General features: G+C 45.4%; 1 protein-coding gene across 3 annotated transcripts in view, besides 4 other annotated features; it reads right to left on the reverse strand.

Moving 5' to 3' along the window:
* PCDH19 (protocadherin 19) overlaps nucleotides 1–21,249 on the reverse strand; it is a 118,630-nt gene extending 97,381 nt beyond the window's left edge. For 2 of the 3 annotated variants that reach the window (NM_020766.3, NM_001105243.2), the window contains exons 1-2: nucleotides 17,427–21,249; nucleotides 13,500–13,827 (exon numbers count right to left, since the gene is read on the reverse strand). In NM_020766.3, coding sequence (NP_065817.2) covers nucleotides 13,500–13,827; nucleotides 17,427–19,573 — 2,475 coding nt within the window. In that variant the 5' untranslated portion in view covers nucleotides 19,574–21,249. Of the gene's footprint in view, nucleotides 1–13,499; nucleotides 13,828–14,499; nucleotides 14,641–17,426 lie in introns of all 3 variants that reach the window. The other variant, NM_001184880.2, reaches the window with a different exon arrangement.
* Nucleotides 6,017–6,621: an enhancer, noted in NCBI's record as "OCT4-NANOG hESC enhancer chrX:99650039-99650643 (GRCh37/hg19 assembly coordinates)". NCBI's record gives its function as "activates a minimal SCP1, AML or CMV promoter by ChIP-STARR-seq in primed H9 embryonic stem cells {active_cell/tissue: H9 hESC(primed)}" and the evidence as "EXISTENCE:reporter gene assay evidence [ECO:0000049][PMID:30033119]".
* Nucleotides 13,327–13,621: a silencer, noted in NCBI's record as "tiled region #9739; K562 Repressive non-DNase unmatched - State 24:Quies". NCBI's record gives its function as "represses a minimal TATA promoter and a strong SV40 promoter by Sharpr-MPRA in K562 cells {active_cell/tissue: K562}" and the evidence as "EXISTENCE:reporter gene assay evidence [ECO:0000049][PMID:27701403]".
* Nucleotides 13,327–14,558: a biological region, named in NCBI's record as "CDK7 strongly-dependent group 2 enhancer GRCh37_chrX:99657381-99658580".
* Nucleotides 13,359–14,558: an enhancer, noted in NCBI's record as "CDK7 strongly-dependent group 2 enhancer chrX:99657381-99658580 (GRCh37/hg19 assembly coordinates)". NCBI's record gives its function as "activates an origin of replication core promoter dependent on BRD2, BRD4, P300/CBP, MED14 and CDK7 cofactors, with strong dependence on CDK7, by STARR-seq in HCT116 cells {active_cell/tissue: HCT116}" and the evidence as "EXISTENCE:reporter gene assay evidence [ECO:0000049][PMID:35650434]".

Below are 21,529 nucleotides of genomic sequence, written 5' to 3' on the forward strand. Positions count from 1 at the left end.
ATTTTACATTTTTTATATTGGGGTGTTTGTCTTTTCATTGTTTTGTAAGAGCTCTTTATATATAAGGGTATTGTTTAAAAGTCCTCTTATTTGAGATGTCTTCCCTGACCTTCCTAGAGCAATCCTCATTCTCGACAAAACATGTATGCTTCATACTTCCTTATTTTTCTTCGTATCACCATCTGTCCATAAAAATGTAAACTCAATGGAGACAGAGATTTTTGTTCACTGTTGTATCCCTAGCACCTTGAATAGTGACTAACATGTGGTAAGCACTCTATAAATAATTGAAGCATTAATTAATGAATTAATAAGCACAGGTTCTTCATAGAAGGAGAACAGAACGGTGGTTGCCAGGGGTTGTGGGTGGGGGAAATAGGAAGATATTGGCCAAAGGATACAAAGTTTCAGTTATACAAGATAAGTTCTGGAGATTTAATGTCTAGCATGGTGACTATAATTAACAATACTGTATTGTATTCCTGAAATTTTCTAGGAGAGTAGATCTTAAGTGTTCTCACCATTTTAAAAAATGGTAACTATATGAGGTAAAGGCTATGTTAATTAGTTTGATGGTGGCAATCATTTCACAATGTATACATGAGTCAAAACATCAAGTTGTACATCTTAAATATACACAATTCCTACTTGTCAATTACACTCCCAATAAAGCTGAAAAACAAATTAATAAATATAGGTTCTCTGCGCTATAAATTTAAAATATTTTCCCAGCTTATGGCTTATTTTTTAATTTAGTTTATGATACTTGTAGATATATAGACATTCCTAAATTTTATATAGTCAGAGCTGCTGGTATTTTTCTTTGTGCTCATTTTCATTGTTTTTATGCTCTTGAAGTCCTCTTCAGCTTCAAAATCAATTGGATATTTATTTATATTTTCTTCTAATGATTTTATTATTTGAGTTTTCATATTAACTCTTTAATAAATGTGAAATTTATTTTTGTCATATAGTGGGAAATAAATCATATTTTTTCCAATTGTTAACCAATTACATGGCACCATTTAGTAAATGATCTCTGCTTTTCTCATTGACTTAAAGAAAATGTGCTTAACTTCTATCTTGTCTCCTCAGTGGCAATATAAACTACAAGGTGAGGTACTACTTATGCTTTCTCTATGTCTCTCTGGGCTGAATACAGGCCTGGTCAGTGAAGGATGATCTATAAATATTTGGTGGATGGATGAATGAGTGGATATTTTCAAGCCAAAATATTTTTTTAAAGAGCCTAACTACTAAACAGTAAGTCCATTCACTAAAGTCTGGAGGCAAATCATCATAGAGGGCAAGGTTTGACCCAGAATAAATGAATACTCTCTAACAGCAGGGCACTATAACCACTATAGAGCTAGTCATCAGTAACAAAATACATTTAATAAACACCTGACACTATCCAAAAGAAACTGCATAGAGTTGATCCTACCATCAAGGAGCTCCTACAAATTATTGTTTAGGGAGCCTAGGATAGAACAGAACTTCCAAGGGCGTCCCCACCGACTGCACCTTCCCCTGAAGTAGCAGTGACTCCCTGAAAGAAATAAATTGCTTTGTTACAGAAAGTGCCCCAAATCCTGCTGGATGCAGTCCATCAGCCTCCAACATGCATTGGGTTTAATAATTCTGGAATCAAATCTAGTTTAAAAGAAAATCTACCACATTTTTGGCTCTTAAGTCAAACCCCAAGTGCCAAGTATATATTGATTCTGTAGGGCTCAGTCAGCCTCCTATGGCCTGAAATTAAAAATAACAGCAAGAACAAAAATACATTTTTTATTGAATTCTGGCTCTTTTCTGATAACCTATAACAAACATCAAAATGAGCAGAGGCATGGTGGACTGCCTCTCACGCCAACAAATCCCACAAAGAGAATGACAATCAGTGAAATATATTGTTAAGCATGAATAGTAGCTAAAATATTTATCTCTGTTGCAAGGTATTAAAATGAAAAAACTTTCAAAGTGGAAGCTTCAAGCAACTGCATTAGAAGTTGCATAATTTGGTTAGACTGACCTTAGAATGGAATAAAAAGCTGCTTATTTCCATAATGTTGGCCTTCAACTGTATAAAAGGTTAGATAATTTATCATGATATACAAAACAGTTTTCAAGAATACCCAACTTAAAAGGAGATCTCGGTGACTTCCAGCTCTATAAATTTTTAGGTAGAGTGATAATCAACATAATTTATGTTTAAGTGAATTTGTGCTCTCCTGAAAGGTCTAGTTTGCCAGGCAAGACGCGTGCATCTCCTATTCATCCCTAGAACAAGTACAAACCAAATGAAGCAAGGTTAGAATACCCATTGCTGCCTTTATGGCAGAACTCGCGTTGGACAGGAAGACATATTTGAACAGAGAGGCTCTGAGTTTTGGCATGCACACTCACAACTCAGATTATACACAGAATATGCTGCCCTCATTAAAAGCTAATGTGCTGTACCTATTGTTTCACCTGCCATAGCTAAGTCCTCTGCCTTCAATACCACCTACAGAGCAACCATTGTCATCACATGGACTCAAACTTCAATGCAGGCAGCTATATGAAGCCCTTCAAACCAATGCTGCAAACATTCACACATTTACACCCAGAGCTGAAAGATAACTTGGAGATCCCCCAACCCAATCTCTTCACATATTGTTGCAGGTTTGGTGTAGTTTGGCATTTGTCTGGAATTTTCAGAATTCTCTATGTCTTGGATTCTGATTTCCCTAGTAATAACAGGCTTCAATAAACTAAAGCTTCTCTTTTATGAGGTTTTTAATTGTTTCATCTGTTTTGGTAGTGATCTCCCCTACCTCAGAACTGCAGATTTCTAGATGGTTATCTTTGATGATACAGTCACTTGGGCTCACTCACACACTAGAGAAAACTGTCCTGATAGAGTTTGCTAGGCTCAAAGAGTGAGGACAGCAAAGTGTTGGAAACATCACACACATTTATTTGATCCCATATTTCCAAATATGACACCATGCATAGCCACAAACCTTTACAGGTACGGATTTTTCTCCACCTTCCATGATCTCCTCTTGAGGGTACCTGGTGATCAGATGTGCAAAGACCAAGCCCCGGATGTCATTCCAACAACGCCCAGTGCCATGGTATTTATAGCTTACCAGTTTTATAAGGTTTTGCTCCATCAGGCCACTACATAATGCATAGTTTTTGCAAAGGCAGGTTAGCTTTCTTTCCATTTCAGAAAATTATTATATTTTTTACTGCAACAAAGCACACTTCTTTTTCTATTTCTAAAGAATTACCAGTAAAGGCAAAATAGAATGACCTAGAAGTGTAAGCACACACATGCCATTAGTAAGTGCACAAGCCACACAGAAAATTGGTGTTTCATATGTAGTATTTGAGATTCGTTTCCAAAAAGCCATAACTACCATAAAATTATTTTGCAATTTTAAAATCAGGCAAAATCTTCACTACGAAAAAACCATTATTTAGTACGAATGCCACTGTGTTCTCTCCCCTAAGCTTTTAGGAACAAATGTTACCATTAGCATACTCCATCACTCAAAAGTCTATACTTGAAAAAATGGAAATGCACTAATTAAAGAAATGATCAGAACAGCAAGCTCATAGTCAATGCCAGTCTTATGAGTGCAGTGTGTCTGTGTCCTTACCATGGCCTCTGTGCCTGGCAGAACAGAGGAGGAAATCAGTCTTCCAACAAGCCGTTCACCATTACCTGTAGCCATATGCCTCTGTTCGTCCCTGTATCTCCAGAGCCCTGCCTCCCTCAAGCATGTCAAGTTTCAAATATGAATGCTAGATTACGGACATTTTTAGTTATAAAAAAGCCTCTTAAAGGTTAAGCCAATCCCTCTGAATGCAGTTTGACAGGGTCTCCCTGTCCATTCTTCTCACTTAGAAAAGATATGGTTTTATAGCAAACGACCTGTACACATAGGCAGTCCATAGCAGACTCCCTCAAGCCAAGAGAATTAAAGAAGAGGAAAGCTTGATACAGAATTGTGCCCAAAAGAAACAAAAAGAGAAAGCAAGCCTCAGAAAATAATTTCTAATAAATTGAAAATATGCACTATAAGGTATTCTTAAGCTGAGTTGTATGCACAGCAATGATTATTTGGCTGCTTCCTACTCACCGAGATCTCAATTAAAAAGAGTCTCTGAGAGATCTATCCTTGAGCTATATCAAATTGGGGTGTCATGGCCTCACATTTGGGGGATCACACCCTGCTGTAACTAAGCTTATGAGCATTTCCTCAGGGAGACAACCAGCAGAATGTCAAAGAGTTGGGAAGGGGGCTCTGAGGACCTAATATCATAGACATGTGTACGGTCAGCCCAGCCGGCAAAGGCTCCATCATCACAGAGGCAAAAAAAGTGAGTGAGAGAAGCAGATAATGTTCATTTTATTCCCTCCTGCTTCTTTCTCTCTCTCCTTTCCCCCTCTCCCTCTCCCACACATACACATACATACATACACACACACACACACACACACACACACACACACACACAAACTCCCCTAAAGAGGGATCTGGCCTTTGGATTGAACTTTTCTTCCTGTCGGCTTACACAGGGAATCCATTTTGCTCAGAAGAGCAAACTACACAATCTGAGAAGAGGTGCCCTTCATGCTCTGGAAATCAGATTTGGGAGCGAAAATAATCCAGAAGGCAGAGACCGCCAAGGCCAGTGCTGGTGGCAGTGAGGGAGAGCAGCTTGCCACAGAACAGCGGCCAGATGGGGCCCAGTGGGAGAAACTGAAAACTGGCCACCCTGGCACTCAGAGACTTAATGGAGCATCAGAAGACTATGCACATCAAGACAGTGCTTAAGCATCTAACATTAAGAAGCCAAGATGCAGCCAGGCGTAGTGGCTCATGCCTGTAATCCCAGCACTTTGGGAGGCAGAGGCGGGTGGATGACCTGAGGTCAGGAGTTCGAGACCACCCTGGCCAACACGGTGAAACCCTGTCTCTACTAAAAATACAAAAAGTTAGCCGGGCATAGTGGTGCATGCCTGTAATCCCAGCTATTCAGGAGGCTGAGGCAGCAGAATCGCTTGAACCCGGGAGGCAGAGGTTGCAGTGAGCCGAGATCATACCACTGCACTACAGCCTAGGTGACGAAGTGAGACTCCGTCTCAACAACAACAACAAAAAGAAGCCGCGGTGCTAGTCCATGAACACTGAGCTCAAGGAGAACACAGACTTGACACCAAGCTTCCTGCCTGCTTCAGTCCCAAAGGGTCTGCTCAAAATTCTGTAGGTAGCTGGACCTAACATGTGTCTGTCAATTTGTCTGTCTCACTCTCATTCTCATTTTTTCCCCATTCTGAAAAGTGATTTTTCTCCCTCCCCAAACACTGAATTTAAAGGCAAGTCTAAGAGAGCTCTTTCACTTTCCAAAGTAATTCCCAGGCTCTACCCAATCCAGGAAATCCTTACTGACTTGGGGAGCTTTCATAATCTGAGACAGCAAAGGGGAAGCCATCTCTTCAGGAACGAGCTCTACAGGTGAAGACAAAAAAAAATTCGTGATGGGCTTCTGTTCTTTGAGCCAAGGGTTTATTTACAAAGGAGAGAAAAGGATGGGAAGATGGCAGCTGTCATATTTTATTTCATTTTTTTAGAATCTGAAGCAAATATTAAATGCTAATACTTGTTAAATTTCAATGACACGTACCCATCTTTTCTGGACACTATATTTTAAATATTACATAGTTGCAAGTTGTTTAATTAAGTAAAAATCAAACAGGAAGGCTAACCAGTGAGGATTCAAGGGCCAGATTTCAATCAAGGGAAAAATGAATTGGCCCACCTTTCAAAGGTTTTGTAAATCTTGTCAATTTGAGGAATCTAATTTTTTTTTTTTTTTTTTTTTTGAGACGGAGTCTCGCTCTGTCGCCCAGGCTGGAGTGCAGTGGCGGGATCTTGGCTCACTGCAAGCTCCGCCTCCCGGGTTCACGCCATTCTCCTGCCTCAGCCTCCCAAGTAGCTGGGACCACAGGCGCCCGCCACCACGCCCGGCTAATTTTTTGTATTTTTAGTAGAGACGGGGTTTCACCGTTTTAGCCGGGATGGTCTCGATCTCCTGACCTCGTGATCCGCCCGCCTCGGCCTCCCAAAGTGCTGGGATTACAGGCGTGAGCCACCGCGCCCGGCCTGAGGAATCTAATTTTAAGCAAACAAGATATGTGAAAATCCAGACTTACAAAAGAAATCAGTTAGGAGTTGATTATTCACATTATATAAGGACTCTCCTTTATGAAAGGATCCATCACAGGCTTTCTTTAAATACAGAATTCCACTGCTGTGATTAGCATGGGGTCTAATTTACAAAACAAACACCCTTTGGCTGACCAGCTTTTCAGGAACACAACTACCATCGAAAGTATACCCGCAGGTCCTCCTAGAGAGTCCTGTCAGGTTTTTCATTATGTGACAGAAAACGCTTGGAAGCTGCACCAGAGGAACTACTGTGAAGCAAAATGGAGGCTTGTTTGGCCGCAAATGTTGTGTGCCTGGGTAAGTCATTTGCCTTTTCCATTTTCATTACTGTAGAGTGGAAACACTGGTCCATTCTGACACCTCTTCTAGAAATGCTGTGGAGCTGTGTGGTCCTAACCAATATGCCTAATGATAACAAGTAAGGTTTCTGCACAGGAGCTCAAGCTCCCGGAGTTGGCAGAGTTGCTGTCCCCACAGCTGCAGGAATGTTCCTCATCATTCCCCTGGGGGGCACAGGGAGGTGCTAGCAGCCTGGGTACACCCACTAGAAGCTGAGTGACCCCACTATGCAGCCCACACAAAAACTACTCTAAATACACAACAGCCAAATAGGAAATGTAACTTGAAGAGCATTTCCCTCTGCAAACAACTGATCCTCTGGGATTTTCACTTCAAGCCTCTCAATTGTTCGAAGTAAATGAGGCTCACATCAAAGGCCAGCCAGTCACGCATCAAGAAATCAAGCCTCTTCTCCGTGGGGGAAAATGGCTGCTCCAGAGCCATCCTCCCACCTCTCACACACAGGCCTCTTGTAAAAACGGCTTTATTTACCCAAATCTGAGACACTCGATTCAACCAAGCTTGGCCTCCCCTAAATCCTGGAAGCTGAGGTACACATGCAGAGGGGCCAACATCTGAAACTCGAGGCAGACGCCTAAGAGCCACAGCACTGCCACAATTGAAAGACTCCAGCTTTGCCAGGAGGTGACTTCATCCTTTTTCAGTCCCCTAATTCCTAACAAGCAATCCCCTAAGCCCTTAGCTTCTGCGCTGGGCACAATAAGCCCAAGCCACAGCACAAGCTGGGGCAAGGTTAGGGAGAGAGAGGTCTGCAGCTCATCCTACCTTGTAAGTCTGACTGACAATCAGAGAAAAAACCAGGTGGAGCCACCTGGACCCAAAACAAGTGGTCCTCTGATAAGAGGAATTCCAAAGCCTTAGAGCCCTCTGTGGAAAATGTCCTGCCTCCAGCCCCTTGGGGAGAAAAATCTCAGGATGATTAGCAAGAGCTCTGGCTGAGCTCAACTTCAGTGAAGGTGTACGGGGAGAGAGGTGATCTCTAAGGTAACCAGTTAATTGCCGATAAGGAATGATAATAATAAATTAGCAGATACTAATGTAAACTAACTCAGTTCTGCAGTTCTGTGGCAGTTGCATGGAGACAACAGAGGAACAGTTTATTCTGGAACACATCTTGCAAGCCCATCCCCACTGGGAAACCGGCTGTCTCAGCTAGAGGTGAAACATGCCAATAAGATACAATGTAGGCAATGGGTGGCCCTAGAATGACTGCTGGTAGAAATTGAGCCCTTGATTTTTGAAGAAAACTGAAATGAGAATGCTCGAAAAGATGTGGGCTGCATTGTTTCTCATTGCTTTCTCCTTCAGGGTTACTTTTGACCCTTAGGGATAGGACTTAAATGATTCCAAGACCCTACTGTAATAAGGAGACAAACAAACAAGACGCGCACTAAAGGGTTTGTTGGTTTCTTTTAATTAGAGGTGATGCTTTGTGTCATTTCCATGCTATCCAAACCAGCCTTATCATACCTATTATTTTTTAGTGCCTTCTGAATCTACTACCTGATAGGTTTGTGGCTGTCTAATTTAGCCCAGAATTTCATTCAAGTCACTGCAAATCTCTAACTTTAAAACTCTGTTTTAGGAACTAAAGTGTACTGGGCTATTTTTTTTCAAAGCCTAACTGATGTTTTATTTTCATTATTTCCACTAAGATGACCATGCATTCAGACTTTTTGTAGGATAATTGGAAGCATTCAATTTGGCTGCCACACACATTCTTGTTCTGCAAGCTCTTCCACGGCTACGTCACTACTTATGAAGACTGTTGCATGAGTGGCTATAGCAGAGCATGCACACACACCCCTTAGATGCCTCATATCAAAGAAACTACAGTTTGCTGATGAAAGGTAGAAAATAGAATTCAAGATTGAGACTGAAACCAAAATTTAAATCCCTACGGACCTATGACTGGAATTCTCTAAGTTTTTGCCTACTATCACTCCCTTACAGCTGTCAGCTCAGAAACATTCAACATCAGAAAACTAAAATTTAAAAATACTGCACAAAGACACTGGGTGTTTGGGCCATTTCACCCCTCCTGGAGGCAAGAAGAAGCCTCACCCAAGTCTCCATTTCCAGTAGAAGCAATGAGTTGCATTTTCTTCCTCCAATAATGACTGCAGCCAGGTGACAAAAATGGTAATGCAGCAATGCTGCTGTACAAAGGAATAACACTTTCCAGCATCCAGAGACACCAGTAGGCATGTCTCCATTCCATAAGACCGGAAGAAAAATCATTTGCCTTACTAAGGAGCCTCTCAAAAAATTTGGACTATTTTTAGAAAGATCTTAGCAAACTGACAAACCTACTATCTTTCTTCTCCATTTTCCTTCTTTTTCAACCTCCTTTCCTCTCTCTTCACTCTTTTCTACGCCCTCATACACACACACACACACATACACACACACATACACACGCCCTCTAATTCATTCACATATACACTAAGTCTATGAGTAAAATAAACCAGGATACCAAGGAATGCAAACCTCACCTTTCAGTTTAAAATATGTAAAAGATACCTGACATCAATAATTCTACAAAAGTCTTCTGTAAACAGCAAAGGCATCCTCCACTTTGCCCCTCAAATTTGTGTACGAAACCACAAAATCCACATAGCTGATTTCCCAGCCAACATCAGAGGACAAGTAAATAATGATATACAATTCTACACAAGATTATCTCTGCAATACTGTAAACTGAGTTCCAATTCTTGATTAGTGTTCCATTCCCTTTACCTTGCCTACCTAACTGCATTCAAAGTCATATTTCTGTTAGCTTCTAGAGCCAACAATGTTCAGATGTGGCTAGGTTTGGACACTGATACAAGAGCTATCTTCCATTCAGCACTAAATTTTGAGGGTTCAATGGCAAATCTACATAAAATGTAAGGCTGCCATTAAAGGAGGAGAAAGGAGTTCTTAGGAGTCTACAAAGCGACAGGTGATCAGAAACTATCTTGTATTGCTTGCCCGTGAAATCATTGTGGGTGATCTTAGCTCCCCAACTAGACTGTGAACTCTCTGAGGGCAGAAGTTACGTCTTAAACTTATTTGGAATCTCCATGGTCCCTGCCACACAGCTGAGCACATAGTGGATACTCCAACAATGCTTGCTGACTTGATCTAATGCCATGGTGATAAATTTCAAAGTGTGATAGAGTGAGTACAGCTAGCACGCAACAGGTCTGAGTGGACTCGTCTATAATCCCTTTGAGAGTAAGCCCTGTAACTGGATCTACAGCTCATAAAGGGACTGGGTTTGACACAGGTAACCCAACAGAGGAACCTACTATGTAGTACCCTTTTGTCCCAACCTGGAGAGTAAGAATGTAACGTGCTCAGGAATAGGATGTTATTCTGAATTGAAATTACCTGTTTACTTGTCTGTATTTCTGTAAGCTCCCTGGGTTCAAGAAACAAGTGTTTTATTATTTTTGATCCCCGGGAAGTAGTACATTATCTGGCACATTCTAAATGTATAATAACTGCTAATGGGATAAATTAATGAACAAATGAAAGAATGGTTTAATGAAATAATATAAAGAACAATGTAAGTAACATAATATAGAGAAATTTCTATAGAATCTTATATTTGCCACATCATAGCACTTATCATTCTATGCTATAATTGCTTAATAAATGTTGCTTTCTTGAATGGATTAATTAATTAATTAGGAAAATATAAAGATAATGTAGGAAATATATCAAAATGTTATTATCCTAGCAATGGAGAATGTCCCATTGCACCCTATATTAGCATTTATTACTCTATATTGCAAATCACCTATTTACTTGATTGTCTCACACTTTAGAATGTGCATTTCTTGTCTTTTTCATCTCTCTAACGCCAGAGCCTAGAGCAGTGCCTTACAAAGAGTAGGCTCAACAAATATCAGTTGAATGAACAAATCAATCATCCCTGCTCTTCTATAGATTTCATTGGACCTAAGTATTCCACCGAGTCCAGTGGCCTTTGGTATAAAAGAAAAGAAGTGTCATTTTCCCTACGCAGGGCATTGTGACTGATTCAGGTTAAATGGCCTGGTCTGTATTCAGCTGTAAGTGGGCCTCTCTCCTTTCTGAATGGGTTTGCCAGTTGAACTCTCCAGGAGGGACTGAATATTAGAAATACACACAACCTCACTATGTCTAGTACACACTGTCTTGGCCATGACCAGCTGTACACACCAAAACTGTGTAATTTTGTTAACCAAGGAAAAGCATCTGGCTTTGTGAGTCAGAGACAGGATCAGAACTGAGATTTTAAACGGCTTTTCTAAATAATTGAAGCAATATTTTGTTTCATTCAGCCCATGGAAGAATCCCAGAAATGATACTAAGTCTTAGGTAAACCAATCAGATGTCGTCATATGTTTTCTGTCCTCTCCATCTATTTCATAGACACCAGAACTCACATTTCTCTAGTGCCTTGAATTGATTGCCTAAGTGATCACCAAGTCCTCAGGATTCAACCCTTTTGTCCATCTCCACAAGTAACAGTGCCGTTACTTGTGAACAACTGAACCCCACAACTTTGGCATCTTTCACCTCTATTGTTTAAATGATCAATATGAGTAGTATGGCCATAATACTTTGTAGGATGTATCTATATAGAAGCAGCCTAAATTCCTCTTTGGTTACAAGTGCCTAGGGAGACACAATCAGTAGTGCAAGCCATTGTAACACTGATTCTCCAACTGTATAGTGAAGAGGTCTACTATTTTGGGGACACCAATGAGTTGAACCTACTACACTACACAAGTCATATTCCTTGGAACAACTTTGCATGACAGGTGTGCCCATTTTGTAGATAAAGAAACAGAGTCTTATGTTCCACAGCAAGCAGTGATTCCTGGATTCAAAATCATGATCAATCTGATTCCACTACACACCACTACCTCTCACTTTCTATTGCTGAGCTATTGGTGATCCACAAGTAGTCTTGTAAGTAGTCTACGGCCTAGGCCTTAGTAGTATTCACTGACATTAATAATTATAACTGAGTTTACCTAGCACAATACTGGACTTTCAAAAAATCCTTATTTATAGAGTTATAAATTGAAAATATTGGTGCTTTTGTTGCTGGCAGAATACCATCAGTTACTCATCAAAAGCACTGCTGTTTGGCCCCATTAATTCTGATGGGAATTATTGTTCAGGAACTAGAAGAAGCAATCAATGTAAGTGGTCCTAAGACCCCTTATCCTACAAAATTGACACAAATACTATGAGGCCATTTTATGTATGCATCATAGCCTGGGTATGTCAGGCTGAATTACTTTTAAGGCAGGAAGGTGTCACTGAAATCACATTTGCCAGGCAGTATAGAGTCCTTCAGTCTCGTCCTCCCTCTCTTGATGACCAGCTTTGTGAGTCTGAGTAAGTCCCTTAGCATCTCTGGACCTCTGTTTCATCATCTACTGAAGGGCAACCTATCAAGATACCTGATTGTGAGGATCAAACGAAACAATGTTTGGGAAGGTGCTTTGAAAGATGTGAAAGTGCTCTCTAAGTATGCAGTATTCTTTTCGCTGGTAGCTTGGAAGAGGACATATGCCTCCCAGTGCATCAGATTTCTAACCAAAGAGGGACTTAAGCAATTCATGGAAAAATGAAATCAACTTAAGAAATGTTACTTATAGCCTTCCTCCCAGCCACCCACCAGCCATCATCCATATACCACTCTACTGCCCTAAAATATTTCAATAGCCAGCAAACATCTGACCACATCACATTTTAAAAAATATTTCTACTTAAGCCCGGTGCAGTGGCTCATGCCTGTAATCCCAGCACTTTGGGAGGCTGAGGTGGGAGGATCACCTGCAGTCAGGAGTTTGAGACCAGCCTGACCAACATGGTGAAACCCCGTCTCTACTAAAAATACAAAATTAGCTGGGCGTGGTGGTGCATGCCTGTAATCCCAGCTACTCTGGAGGCTGGAGCAGGAGAATTGCTTGAAGCCGGGAGGTGGAGGTTGCGGTGAGCCAACATTGTGCCATTGCACTCTAGCCTGGACAACAAGAGAAACTCCATCTCAAAAAAAAAAAAAAAATTCTACTTAAATACATTCATTCCCAGTGAAGAGAAAGAAACAGAGCTCACTCAAATGCATAGATAATTCTTATTCTTATTCTTACTCTTTTTTTTTTTCGTTGTTAGAGACGAAGTCTCACTATATTGCCCAGGCTGGCAAGCTGGTCTGGAATTCCAGGCTCAACCGATTCTCCTGCCTCGGCCTCTCAAAGTACTGGGATTACAGGTGTGAGCCACTGCAACCAGCCAACTAATTCTTAAATTTTCAGCAATAATGACAGTTTCAATCTCCTCAACCATCAAATGTTACCACTAGAACTGCTAAGAAATGGCAAAGTGGCTTTTTAATTTTTTTGCTTTGCCTCCCTTTAACCAGCCTATCCATATTCTCTCACCAAAATGCTAGAGAACAGTGATGTGACGAAAGAAAAAGCAAATGGGGTCTTTAGGAGGCTGAATCACTCTCACACTGGAAAATTGGTCCCAGGGCATTAGAGGGTTTCATCCATTTTCAACACTACTTGATGACTCTTTCTAAGCCACTTTACTGGCATACTGGTACTGCTGGCTGTCAAGCATGCTATATTTGCAACAGGTGGAGCAAACTTGAGTTATGCCAGGATAATGATTTCAAGGGCTCAGACTCTTTGAGTTACCAATTCCAATACCCATACCTACACAAAGGCCCAGTATGTTGGGTTACCTTTTGCTCCAAGAAGCACTGATAGCAAACCCTTAGTATGAAAATGGGCATAAGCAGAGAAATTCTCCCCACCCCTGCCAGGGGATGTGCCAGCACAGCAGCTTATGGTATCCAGCGAGCAGCTAAAGAAGGAGACCTGGGAGAACCTCACAGAGCCACTTAGCTGCACTCACCTCAGGCAGAGGCACACCGTTGATAATCAGGTCAGGCTGCTGGGGCCCCTGGCTGTTGAAAGAGTGATGGTAGATGTGGTTAGCACTGGTGTTGCGGGTATTCTGGTTCTCCACATTCAGGAAAGTGCTCTCAGAGCGGCGGCAGCCCAGGGGCAGCGTCTGCTGGTGGTAGTCAAAATAGTTGAGGGAGGAGGTCAGGGAAGAGCAACTGACAACGTTCATCTTGTCTGTCTCCTCCACATCCCGGGGTACCAGGCGGATGTCATTCTTACTGATTTTTTTCTTCTTGCTTGATTTCTTTTGATGCCCATAGGAGTACTCAGCAATTCTATGTGACAGAAAAGGCAGCATGAATCACTAACACCCTCCCAAATCATGCACTGATTAATAAACATTAAGCACCCCAGAGGGTTGCACCCCATCTCCGCTCCAGCTCCTTATTCTGGTGCATTACATCATCGGGTTTCTCCCTGTGCTTTTTACAAGGGAAAACAGGCTGAGGGCCATAAACTTTTCATATTAAACATAGTAACCTCCCACCAACCCCCCCTAAAAAAGTTTCTATACTTTGGATTTGGAATTTTTCATTGTGAGTGGCCTGTGAGCACGGGTGGGGGGACAGGGAAAGTTGAGCCTATGGGAGAGAAAGCATGAAAATGCTCAAATCTGGAGCTTCCCTGGAACCAAAAGGAACTCCTAGGTGAAATACAAAGCAAGTCACCAAAGAGGAGATAGAGGAAAATAAAAAATACCCGCCCCCACCCCCTTGCCAGTTCCTCCAGGCATTTGCCATGTGGCACACGCCCTCAATCAGCTTCCTCTATGACTCACTCGATCAGTTTTGGACTGGGGTAGGAGATCAGACCCCATTCTTTCGCGTCTCCTCCACACCCTCCTCCCTGCCCTAGCCCGGTTCCCTTTTACTCACCCCCCGACCCCCTCCTCTCCTAGAAAAATCTAATAGCCAAACCCATTTAAATGAGGGGAAATGCCTTTTTACCTCTTTCCCCTTAGGCTCACTTTCTCCTCTGTCTTTTTGTCTTGCTCCTCGCTAATGGGAGAAACCGAGATGCAATGCAGACACTTGCTGTTTTGTCCTTTTATAAAACAGCCGAGGAGACAAGTGATGGTTAAACAATTACTGCAAAGGAATTTAAAGGTTAGTGCATTCAGCATCCTTCTCCATTCAGGTGTACCTACAAGCAGCTGTGCTGCAACTGGAACATAAAGAGCTCAATTTAATTAACACTGACACAGACCCAGCAACGTGCACCAAAGACACCAGGCATTAAGAGACTTGTCAAAAGAAATACATTTAAATGTAGCCAGATTCTCAAAGTCATTTATTACTTTGCACATAATGATTCAGTTTCTTTTTTGGAAATTCGATTTCTGGGCAATAATCAGCAAAACAATAGGGTTAATAAGTAATACAGGTTGATCTTTACAAGGGAAAGACTGTGCCTTATTCTCACTCGACAAAGCTAATTGTCTGAATACAAAAAGGGAGCCCAATTCAAGCAGCAATTGCAGATCATCTCGCAAGTCTCATAAATGAATGCATTTCAGGAAGAGGTTCTGCGGAGGCTTAGAAAAAGAAACCTCTGCCTAATCACATGGAAAGACACGCTCCTGAACTTTAGGTTTCTAAAAAGTCTGAGCAGATAGGGAGACTACACATCTACAGAGGCAAATTCTTGCTCTGTCCCCAGGATCTACCTAGAGTTAAGCAATTGAGTTCCCCTCACCCCTTCGCTCTGTGCTCAGGAAGATTTGCAGTGATGGCAAACTGGTACTACTGGGGTTTGGGAGCAGATAAAATCCCCAAAACCCTAGTACTAAGGTTGATTTTCTATTCTAATCTGTTTACAGAATCAATGGGAAATTTTAATCATTTTGTTTACCCAAGATGAGTAACTTTGGCAATGCCCCATCAAATTATTCAGCTGAAGCATTCATTGTGCAGCCCTTTCTGTATTAACCAATTATTTAATTATACTGTACTTCATTAATCCCAAACCATCACAGGAAACAGAACGCTTCACAAAATACACATTTGGGTGAAGTTGGAGAGCACTGAGATTTACTCTTTTTTTTTTTTTTCAATATTCAGATGCTCTCCTCCTGTTTAATCATCTCCTTGGCAAGTTCTCAGAAAGGGCTCTCACTTCTAGTCATACATCACCAAGAGGTGGCAAAGCCTTCAATATCTTTATTTCAAGCTGATTTCTTTTTCATCAAGGAAAGGATCTTATGCATTTACTTTATGCTGAGAAGATGGCTTAAAAAGAGTCCTCTCCATAATTATCTCCATATAAATAAAATTTTATTGACCCCACATTTTTCTCCTATAAAAATCGCCACTAGCAGTCACAGGTTTGAAAGCTAAGAGCAATATTAATTTACATTTCTCCCATCTGAAATGACTTGGTGCTGAAGGAAAGAAAAGTCATGGCCATTTCACTAGTAACAGGATTAAAGCATTTATGAGGCATTGCAGCTGCTCTTTTATGGCACCTGATTGATATTCATGTGTGGTTAGCATTTGTCTACTAACTTGTGTAACGCAGAGAATAGTAAAAGGGAAACAATAATTGCATGGCTGTTACATATTCAGGGGGCTCTGATTCACAGAAGTGTGCATTTCAGACGGTGTCAAATACAAACTGAACCTACAGGAACATATTTTGACTGATTAACATGCAGACACAAATGGCACAAAAGACACACTGATGTGTAGGTGTGTTGAAAGCACACACACACCTTGGTTGTAAATAGCAGCATCATTCATTTTCAGCAAACTAAAGAAACAACTTTTTTCAACTGTTTCGATGAGACACTGCTGGAAAAAAAATGTCATGTATTATCCTAAATTGGATTCTAGGATTCTAGAAATGCTTAGACTTATGTGCTCTATCCAAATGTAAGAAAGGGCTTCAGTAAGACCTTCTAATGTGCTTATCAGGAAATCTTTTTAAAAAATACTGTGTTTCTTCTTTTCTCCCTTTTCCTCCCCCTTCTATCCCTCTCTCTCTCCCTCCCCCCCCCATACACACACAGACACACACACATCCTTCACACACTTCAAGAGAAACTGTAACACAATAGCCCACAGTGACATCCACTGGTAGGAACCAGATCTTAATGCCACAACACAGTCTCACATTAGAGGAAAGCATCATCAACTCTAGAAGATTGCTATTTTTACTGAAACATCTGGATGCAAAGTCTTGTTCCTCATTGGGATGTTTGGTCTCCACACTACCAACCAACCAGATATTTGAAAACATACAGATGCCTGATAGAATTTCACTTTATATAGCCAGATGTTTGGGGACTAGATAAAAAACAAGCCAAGAATAAACTAAAAACCACTAATCACCTGCATCTCCACACACTCCTGTTCTCTCCTCCCCCTCATCTCCCTTTCCCATCTTACACTCCCACTCCCAGTCTCTCTCCAGAGTTCATCACTGCAACAAGACAGGGTAGCTGCCAACACTCCCTCTCCTTTCATTCAGTACCTGTCCCAAAAACACTGTGCCCCAGACACCAAGTTGTGGTAGTTGGTGGTTTTCCTAAAAATATGATCTCTCTCTCTCTCCCCCTCCCTCTCTCTCTCTCTGTTTTTCCTACCATAACTTCATGGAGACAGCTATGCAAATTTTAAAATGATAATTGCGTTTCTGCTCACCATCATTATGTGACAGAATCCATTCAAACACTAAATGATTGTCTTCCAGCAAATTGTCAGATCAAAAGAATTGATCAACTTGGACTGTCACAAACTTTTCACCCTACAAAAAGAAGCACTGCAAGTATGCTGCATGCATTTAAGTAGGAAACAAAAGCACCAGGATTTTCACACAGAGACACAGATAAACACACCTTATTCATCCAAGACAAAGAAAGAAAACTTGGCTTTACCTGCAGTTGTAGGTCCGGATCTCTTTGTTGTCTCGCTTGCACTTGATTGCCACGAAGATCATAGTTACAAAGAGGATGCCCGCAATGGAGCCCAGGGCAATAATGAAAATCAAGGACAAGTTCACAGAGCCCATTGACTCTTGGGCATCGAGAGCAGGGGACAAGTAGATTAGGACGAGAGCAGAGGCAGAGAGAGATGTCTTGCCGTGGTCGTGAGCCACCACGATAAGCTCATAGGAGGACTTGGAGCTCTCCCCGAAGGTGCGGGTGGTTCTGACTTCGCCATTGACCTGGTCTATTTCAAAGAAGCCGCGGTCGCCCTCGGTCATGTCGTAGGTGACTCGGCCATTTTCGCCCTCATCGTAGTCTTCTGCCTTGACAACAGTCACCAGGTAGCCTATGCCAGAGTTGCGGGGTATGTAGACCTCGGCAGTGCCGTTAATCAGAGGTGGGGCTGTGATGACCGGGGTGTTGTCGTTGACGTCGAGGATGATGACCCGCACCGTAGCGTTGCTTTGCAGTGAGGGAAGGCCGCCGTCCTTGGCCAGCACCTTGAATTCGAACGCCTTGGTCTGCTCGTGGTTAAAGGATCGCAGCGCGTAGATGTCGCCTGAGTTGGGATTGATGGAGACATAGGTGAAGACAGGCATGTCCCGCACCTGCGACGGCACGATCTGGTAGGAGACACTGCCGTTGAGACCCAGGTCGGGGTCGCGAGCAGACACAGAGAGCAGATAGGCGCCAGGCGTGTTGTTCTCCTGCACAATGACCTGGTAGTAGGGCTTGGAAAAGTGCGGGTGGTTGTCATTTTCGTCAGTGATGAGCACGGTAAAGGACTTGGCACTCTGCAGCATGGGCACGCCGCCGTCGCGTGCCTGAATTGTGAGGTTGTATTGGTCGTGCTGCTCGCGGTCCAGCCGTCCGTCCACCAGAATAGTGGAGAAGCTCTCATATTCCTGCAGTCGAAAGGGCACATTGCCCAGCAAACGGCACTGCACACGTCCATTGAGGCCTGAGTCGCGATCAGACACCCGCACCAAGGCGATCACGTAGCCCGGGGGGGCGCTCTCGCTGACCTCCACAAGCTCACTGTTGACTGACAGCAGGTTGATGACCGGCGGATTGTCATTGGTGTCCAGCACGCTGACGGTGACCTTGCAGTGTGCCGGGATGGAATTGGGCCCCAAGTCCTTAGCCTGCACGTCCAGTTCGTACACGTGCCCCTCTTCGTAGTCTAAAGCGCCAGTGACAGTGACCAGGCCACTGTGCGGGTCGATCTGAAAGAGCTCGCGCGTGCGGTCGTTGACGTAGCCATAGAAGGAGTAGACCACCTGGCCGTTGGTGCCCTCGTCTGGATCGCTGGCGTTGAGGCGGATGACGGGTGTGTTGGGAGGCGAGTTTTCTGGCACGCTCACCGCGTAGGTGGACTCGCTAAACACCGGGTTGTTGTCATTGGAGTCGGTCACCTTGATACTAAGGCCAACGGTGCCCAGGCGCGGCGGGTCGCCACCGTCTAGCGCAGTGATTCGGAAGCTGTAGTGCGACTGCGTCTCGCGGTCCAGGCTCTTTTCCACCACGAGTTCGGCAAAGCGGGAGCCGTCGCCGCGCGTCTTGATCTCCAGGCCGAACAGCTCGTTGGGCGTGAGCTCGTAAGTCTGCACGCCAAAGCTTCCTGAGTCTGGATCGTAAGCGCTGTCCAGCGGGATGCGCGTGCCAGGGCTGGCTGCCTCCGAGATCTCCAGCTCGATCTGTGCTGCCGGGAAACTGGGCGCATTGTCGTTCAGGTCCTTGATCTCCACCTTTATCACGCAGATTTCCATTGAGCTGGACATGACCTCGAGCGAGATGATGCACTTGGGGCTCTGGCGGCACAGCAGATCACGGTCAATCTTCTGCTTGGTGACCAGCAGGCCAGAGCTGGGATTGATGTCCACTAGGTGTGGAGCCGAGTTGGACACCACGCGAAAGGCTGAAGCCTGCCGGGGGTCCAGCGCGAAGCCCGCCTCTCGCGCGTCTTTGGCCACGTTGGCAATCACCGTCCCGGCGCGCTGCTCCTCTTCTACCGAGTACTTGAGATTAATGAGGGCGGCAGCCTGCGTCCACAGTATGGCCAGCAGCAGCAGCACCGGCAGCAGGAGCGACTCCATGGCTGCACGGGGCTCTGCCTGGCCTCGCCTCTCCACACCCCTCCGAGACCGACGCCGTCGGCGCTCCAGCTTCCCGCCGGCTCGGGCCGCCTGTTGCGCGCGCCCCGTGGCCCCGGAGGCCGCGGGAGAAGTCCCGCCCAGGGCGGCCCGGCGGCGCGCGGGGGACACCCGCGGCGGCTCCAATGCTGAGGTTGCGGCGGACGCGGCGGGGGCTCGCGGGGGCCCCGGGGGCTCCGAGGGGCCAAGGGAGCGCCGCGCGGCCCCGAGCCCCCTCCCTCCAGCCCGGCTACTCAGTTTTACCCCTTCAAAGTTAGCCGGGCGCGACTGTCGGCAGCCGCCCAGGGCTGCGGGTCGGGCGGCGTCTGCGCGGCCTGGAGGACGCACCGCTGAGTCCGGACAGTACTTGAGGCGAAGGTAAAGAGGGCGGAGGAGGCGCAGCCTTTCAGGCACTGCCCGGCCCGCCGCGGTGCACCGGCACTGAGGCTGGCGAACTCGCTGTCTGTGCACCTGGCATGCGCAAAGACCTCCCCCCAGCGCTCCCAGTTCACTGCGGAGAGAGTACCCGCTTGGAATGCGCCCTCCGGGGTCTGGGGGGGCCACACTGGCCTCTTCGAGGCCTGTTCGGGAGAAAGGGGGTGTCGCAGACGGGAGTCAGTTACTGGCAAGCGCCGCGGGCACCCGGTTATAGGGTTGAGTCGGATGGCGGTCCCGGGGCCAGCAGAGGAAGGGGGAGGGGAGAGAGGCTGCCAGAGCTTGAGCGCGCTCCCTCGCGCTAAGGCTGGCTTCGAAGGGCTTGGGGGCGCGTCTGTCCAGGATCCGAGGTGGGAGCGGAGTTCCCCCCACAGAGCAGTTGAGGGTCTGCGGGCGTTTTCGTCTAGGAAATCAAAGTTAACAACGCAGTCCGACCCTCCACGTCAAGTTTGTGGAAACGGGGAGATGGCAATTTGTCCAAGAAAATCAAAGCCCCGGTCTTTCTAATGGCCGGGGGTGGCGGGGAATGGGGAAGAGGGAAGGGGAGGCAACAACAGTACCGGCCAGGAGAGGCGGGGCCGCCGCCGTGGGTACCGGGTGCTTCTCTTCTCTCCGTTTGGGCTGGGGTGTCGCTCCAAGGTCCGCCGCCGCCGCCGCCGCCGCCGCCGCCGCGGGAGGAAGCCCTCCTAGCTCAGTTGCACGTCGCTGGGGTCCGCCTCAGCAGCTGCCACAGTCGACGATTTTGTCGCCGCCGAAGTTTACTTGCAGGAGCGTCTTGATTTCATCTTCCCGGAGAGGCGCTGGCCGCGCTGCGTTGGGCTCCCTTCCTCCCGGGCGCTCGCGCACTCGGGAGGTCTGTCTCGCTTTCTCTGTCTGTCTCGGGCTGTGTGTGAATGTGTGAGAGAGAGAGGAAGAGTGAGTGTGTGGTGTGGGGAGTGTGAGTGTGGAGTATGAGCAAGCAGGAGGCAATGGGTTTGGGGTAGGAGGTTTAGGATTTCGGATGAAATCGCTCAGCCGGAATGCTGCGGAGCGCAACGCGCCAAGGGCCAGCGCCGGGCTAGGGACGCGGGTGCCAGTGCCTCCCGGGCAAGCCAGGCATGGTGCACGGGAGCTGTGCTGCCGTCTGTGCCCGCTCGTCCGTCTCCGCGCTGCGCCAGCCGCCGCCGCTACTGCTGCTGCTGCTCCTCCGGATGCCGCAAACTACTGGCCGCGGAGTCTGGAGAAAGCCGGAGAAAGCTCAAGCTGCCGAGCCCGGCTACGCCAGGCCCTGGCCAATCAGCGCGCCGCCAGCGGGCTCCAGTCTTGGGGCGGGGCCAAGCGGAGGCGGGGGGTAGCGGGGGGGCGGGGCCAAGCGGAAACTTCACACCGGCGGGACCAAGTGGTACCCCGGCCCATGGAGCCCTGGCGGGATTCATGGGAGGACGGACAGACAGGCCAGGCAGGCCAGGCAGGAGCAATAGGGCAGGAATGAGCAGGGAGGCGGTG

Source organism: Homo sapiens, chromosome X (assembly GCF_000001405.40).
Source record: "Homo sapiens chromosome X, GRCh38.p14 Primary Assembly".
NCBI lineage: Eukaryota > Metazoa > Chordata > Mammalia > Primates > Hominidae > Homo > Homo sapiens.